The 4,788-nt window shown below is 47.2% G+C and overlaps 1 annotated feature.

Moving 5' to 3' along the window:
* Positions 3,214-3,414: a silencer, noted in NCBI's record as "peak6098 fragment used in MPRA reporter construct". NCBI's record gives its function as "represses an SCP1 promoter by STARR-seq MPRAs in K562 erythroleukemia cells {active_cell/tissue: K562}" and the evidence as "EXISTENCE:reporter gene assay evidence [ECO:0000049][PMID:32103011]".

Here is a 4,788-nt window from a genome sequence, read left to right as displayed (position 1 = left end):
TGCCGATTGGTGTGTTTACAATCCCTGAGCTAGACATAAAGACTCTCCACATCCCCACCAGACTCAGGAGCCCAGCTGGCTTCACCCAGTGGATCCCGCACTAGGGCTGCAGGTGGAGCTGCCTGCCAGTCCTGCGCCATGCACTCGCACTCCTCAGCCCTTGGGCGGTTGATGGGACTGGGCACCGTGGAGCAGGGGGCAGCGCTCACTGGGGAGGCTCGGGCTGCACAGGAACCCACGGAGGCAGGGGAAGGCTCAGGCATGGCGGGCTGCAGGTCCCGAGGCCTGCCCCGTGGGAAGGCAGCTAAGGCTCGGTGAGAAATCGAGCTCAGCACTGGTGGGCTGGCACTGCTGGGGGACCCAGTACACCCTCCGCAGCTGCTGGCCCGGGTGCTAAGTCCCTCATTGCCCGGGGCCAGCAGGGCTGGCCGACTGCTCCGAGTGTGGGGCCTGCCAAGCCCACGCCCACCCGGAACTCCAGCTGGCCCGCAAGCGCCGTATGCAGCCCCGGTTCCTGCTCGCGCCTCTCCCTCCACACCTCCCTGCAAGCTGAGAGAGTGGGCTCCAGCCTTGGCCAGCCCAGAAAGGGGCTCCCACAGTGCAGTGGTGGGCTGAAGGGCTCCTCAAATGCCACCAAAGTGGGAGCCCAGGCAGAGGAGGTGCCAAGAGCAAGCGAGGGCTCTGAGGACTGCCAGCACGCTGTCACCTCTCAAGGTGAGAGTTGAAGAGGTTTTAAGTTCTTAAGAATATAGGCTAAGGGAGAAGAAGGAGGAATGGAAGGTGGAAGCTTGCCCATAGTGAAGGAGGCAAGCCCAGAGAAAAGAGTAGAGACACGGAGAAGGGGTTGGGGGTTCTTGCCCTCCAGAAAAGCAGAGAAAGGGTTGGGGCATGGAAATAAGGAATTGGGGCACAGAGATAAGAGGTTGGGGTGCAGAAATAAGGGATTGGGGCACAGAGATAAGAGGTCGGGGTGCAGAAATAAGGGATTGGGGGTTCTTGCCCCCTAGAAAAGAGGGACTTGCCACTAAGTGTGAAGGAGAAGGGGTTGAGGGGTACTTGCCCCTCCCCCAGAAAAGCGGGACTTGCCGCTAAGGGTGAAGGAGAAGGGGTTGAGGGGTACTTGCCCCTCCCCCAGAAAAGCAGAGAAGGGGTAGAGACAAGGAGAGAAGGGGTTGAGGTACTTGCCCCTTCCCCAGAAAAGCGGGACTTGCCGCTAAGGGTGAAGGACCAAGGCAGGTGTCCCTGCGTGGTCTGACACCTTTGCAACGTGGGTGAATAATCAGAGAGGTGTCCCTGCAATGATTAAACACCAAGGGAAGGCTGCCTTCCCAGTCCGTGACTGGCGCCGGAGTTTTGGGTCCACGGAGAAAACGTGTCTCCTTTGTCTCTACCAGAAAATGAAAGGAATTGAAATTAAGAGAAGGGAGAGATTGAAGTGTGGCACCAAGATTGAAAGGAGAAAGAAGTTGAGGGATAGTGAGGGAGGTTGGAGAAGAGAGTAAACAGAGGCCACTTACTGGATTTGAAATTGTTGAGATGTTTCTTGGGCTGGTCAGTCTGAGGACCTGAGGTTGTAGGTGGATCTTTCTCATGGAGCAAAGAGCAGGAGGACAGGGGATTGATCTCCCAAGGGAGGTCCCCCAATCCGAGTCACGGCACCAAATTTCATGCGCGTCCATGTGAAGAGACGACCAAACAGGCTTTGTGTGAGCAACATGGCTGTTTATTTCACCTGGGTGCAGGCAGGCTGAGTCCGAAAAGAGAGTCAGTGAAGGGAGATAGGGGTGGGGCCGTTTTATAGGATTTGGGAAGGTAATGGAAAATTATAGTCAAAGGGGGTTTTTCTCTGGTGGGCAGGGGTGGGGGTCACAAGGTGCTCAGTGGGGGAGCTTCTGAGCCAGGAGAAGGAAATTCACAGGGTTAATCACTCAGTTAAGGTGGGGCAGGAACAAATCACAGTGGTGGAATGTCATCAGTTAAGGCGGGGCAGGGCCTTTTCACTTCTTTTGTGATTCTTCAGTTACTTCAGGCCATCTGGGCGTATAGGTGCAAGTCACAGGGGATGTGATGGCTTGGCTTGGGCTCAGAGGCCTGACAGCAATTATTTTGTATACTTGGAAATTCTTCAGAAAAGGAAAAATATAACCAACAAATTATTTGGAAACAATGCAATTTGTTCATTTTTTTAAATTAAAAATATGACCAGGAATGGTGGCTTGTGCCTGTAATCCCAGCACTTTGGGAGGCTGAGGTGGGCAGATCACTTGAGGTCAGGAGTTCGAGACCAGCCTGGTCAACATAGCGAAACCACACGTCTACTAAAAATAATAAAATAAAATAAAATAAATAGCTGGGGCATGGTGGGCCATGCCTGTAATCCCAGCTACTCAGGAGGCTAAGGCATGAGAATTGCTGGAACCCAGGAGGTCGAGGCTGCAGTGAGCTGAGATCACACCAATGCACTCTAGGGAGACAGAATGAGACTCTGCCTCAAAAAAATATATTAAAAATATTTAAAACTGACAGAACATACTTAATAATATTTAATTATATTATATCAAAATATTTATTATTTGTGAATCTGAGGCTTGTTTAAATTTTGCAATAATATTGTTTTCAGATCTCATATATTTTCCTAGGTCCTTTGAAAAGTTTATATTATGTACAATGGGCTCAATTCTTACAGTATAATTTGATATTCTTGGGCCTAGACTTATACTTTGTTGTCCAGTGGAGTATCCACTAGCCACATACAGCTATTTAAATTTAAATTAATGAAAATTAAAAATTCAGTTCCCCAGATGCAATAGCCACATTTCAAGTGTCCAGTGCCTACCATATTGAAGAGCACAAATATGAGACATCTGCATCATTGAGAAAGTTTTACTGGACATCATTGATCTAACCCAATCTTAGCTGTGGAATTACAAACATTGATGTTATCTTCACGCTACAAATTGAGTTAGGTATGACATAGTGGGAGAAAGTTCTCTCAGTGAGATTGTAAAGGAAAAGGGTATGAAGAAGACAGATAGTGTTTGCAGATTGCTTTGGAGAGAGATCTCCAAACCACGTACAAATAAATAACTGGGAACTGACTGCAGAATGAAAAGAAAGGCTGCAGGAAAATGTGAACAAATAAGAAGGTAGAAAAGCTGATAGGGATAACTAAAAAAAAATTGGAAACCTTGAAAATGAGGACTCGTGGCTCATCAGAAAATGAGAGACTATTAAGTCAAATATGAGAAAATCTGATTCAGGTATTCCTCTGCGCATTGAGAGGAAGAGGCAGACCTCCGAGGTAATACAGATGAAATAACAACCAAATATGGTAACTGATTAAATGTGATAAGGAAACAAAAGCTCCTAGAAGACAGAAGAGAAAGGAGAGGTAATTCTGCAGAGCTAGTGCAATTGAGAGGGGTCCTTTTTGTGACTGGTGAAAACTTAAGAGGAAACAGACACTTGAGTGTTCATGCTTTTCAACTGAGAGGGTGGCTTAGAGTATGTCACCATCAGAAAACAGGAAGAAATGTGGGATTTGGTGCAGCCGGGGGTCAGTGAGTAAATCATTCACCGAAAAAGAAAGCAAAAGACCTGAAACAGATGGATTTTCTCAAGGAAGGAAGAAAATCAACAGAATCCTTGTTTGAAGGGACCCTCTGCTCAGTGAGAGGAAAGAAAAGCAATGTTAAGAGGAATGCAAAAGAAAGTGTCAGTAAGGTGTGAAATGCCCAGAAGACAGACACTTCTGAAAGTTAGTAGGAAGATCTTAGGGGAAAGGAAAAACACAGAGAACCATGGGTAGAAAAAAACTTTGAGATAAAAATAGAAAATGAGTAGATCTGTAACTTTAACTACCTCACTGAAAACTTTTCTCTTAGTGCTTGAATATGAAGGCAAGAAATACCTTGGCCCTAAAATATGGTGAACCAGATAGAAATTCTGGAATTGGGACTTTTCATATAAGAAAGATATGCACACAAATTTGTGAGGTGACATCAGAGGGTATATGGTTCAATGATTAAGCCAGGGTTTAAAAGAGCTGAGGCATACATTTAGTTATTCAGTAAGAACAACTAAAACTTGTAAAGCACTTATTGTTTCCAGAGGTCTTTTCCTTGAGCATATTATCTTATTTAAGCTCTAACATGCAGCCTGTGAAGAAGGCAGTACTCTCACTCCCATTTCACAGATGGTCAATGAATGAACTAAGAAGATTATTATTTGTCTGGGTATAACAGGAAGCAACAGACAACAAGCTAAATGTCAGCTTTATCTTCTGCAGTCCTTTCAGTCCTTCTTTCTGAAACATGAAAGATTCCCTTGTCCCCCTCGCAGGGTATGTGATGGGGATGTGGCTCGCTTCTTCCCTCCCCGACCGCTCAAACCTCTAGGGGAACATACAGGCAGGTAGGGTGTGGGGCTCCGACCCCACAGCAGTGTGTAGGGGTGAATGTTTACGGCTTCTGAAGCCCCAGGGGGCGTGTGTTGCAGGATGCTCTCTTAGTTTGCCAATCTATAGGCAGCTTGTGTTAACCGGCTCAATTAGACCCCCCTCCTTATCACAAGGACAGAAGGATTTCTGATCCTGGGGTTCTTGCCTTAGTGTACGGGTAGAATCGGATCACTTGTGGGCTTGGAGAATGAGTGTAAAGTTTTATTGAGTGGAAGTAGCTCTTAGCCAATGGGGGATCCACAAGGGAGATGGTCTTCCTGTGGAGTTGGGCCCCAGCTCTCCTCTGACTGCCCTGGCCAAACTCTGCCTCATCCCACTGGTGGATGGCC

The sequence above is a fragment of the Homo sapiens genome, chromosome 6 (assembly GCF_000001405.40).
Source record: "Homo sapiens chromosome 6, GRCh38.p14 Primary Assembly".
NCBI lineage: Eukaryota > Metazoa > Chordata > Mammalia > Primates > Hominidae > Homo > Homo sapiens.
The sequence above is the reverse complement of the archived record's forward strand: the minus strand, read 5'-3'. Positions and strand labels throughout refer to the sequence as shown.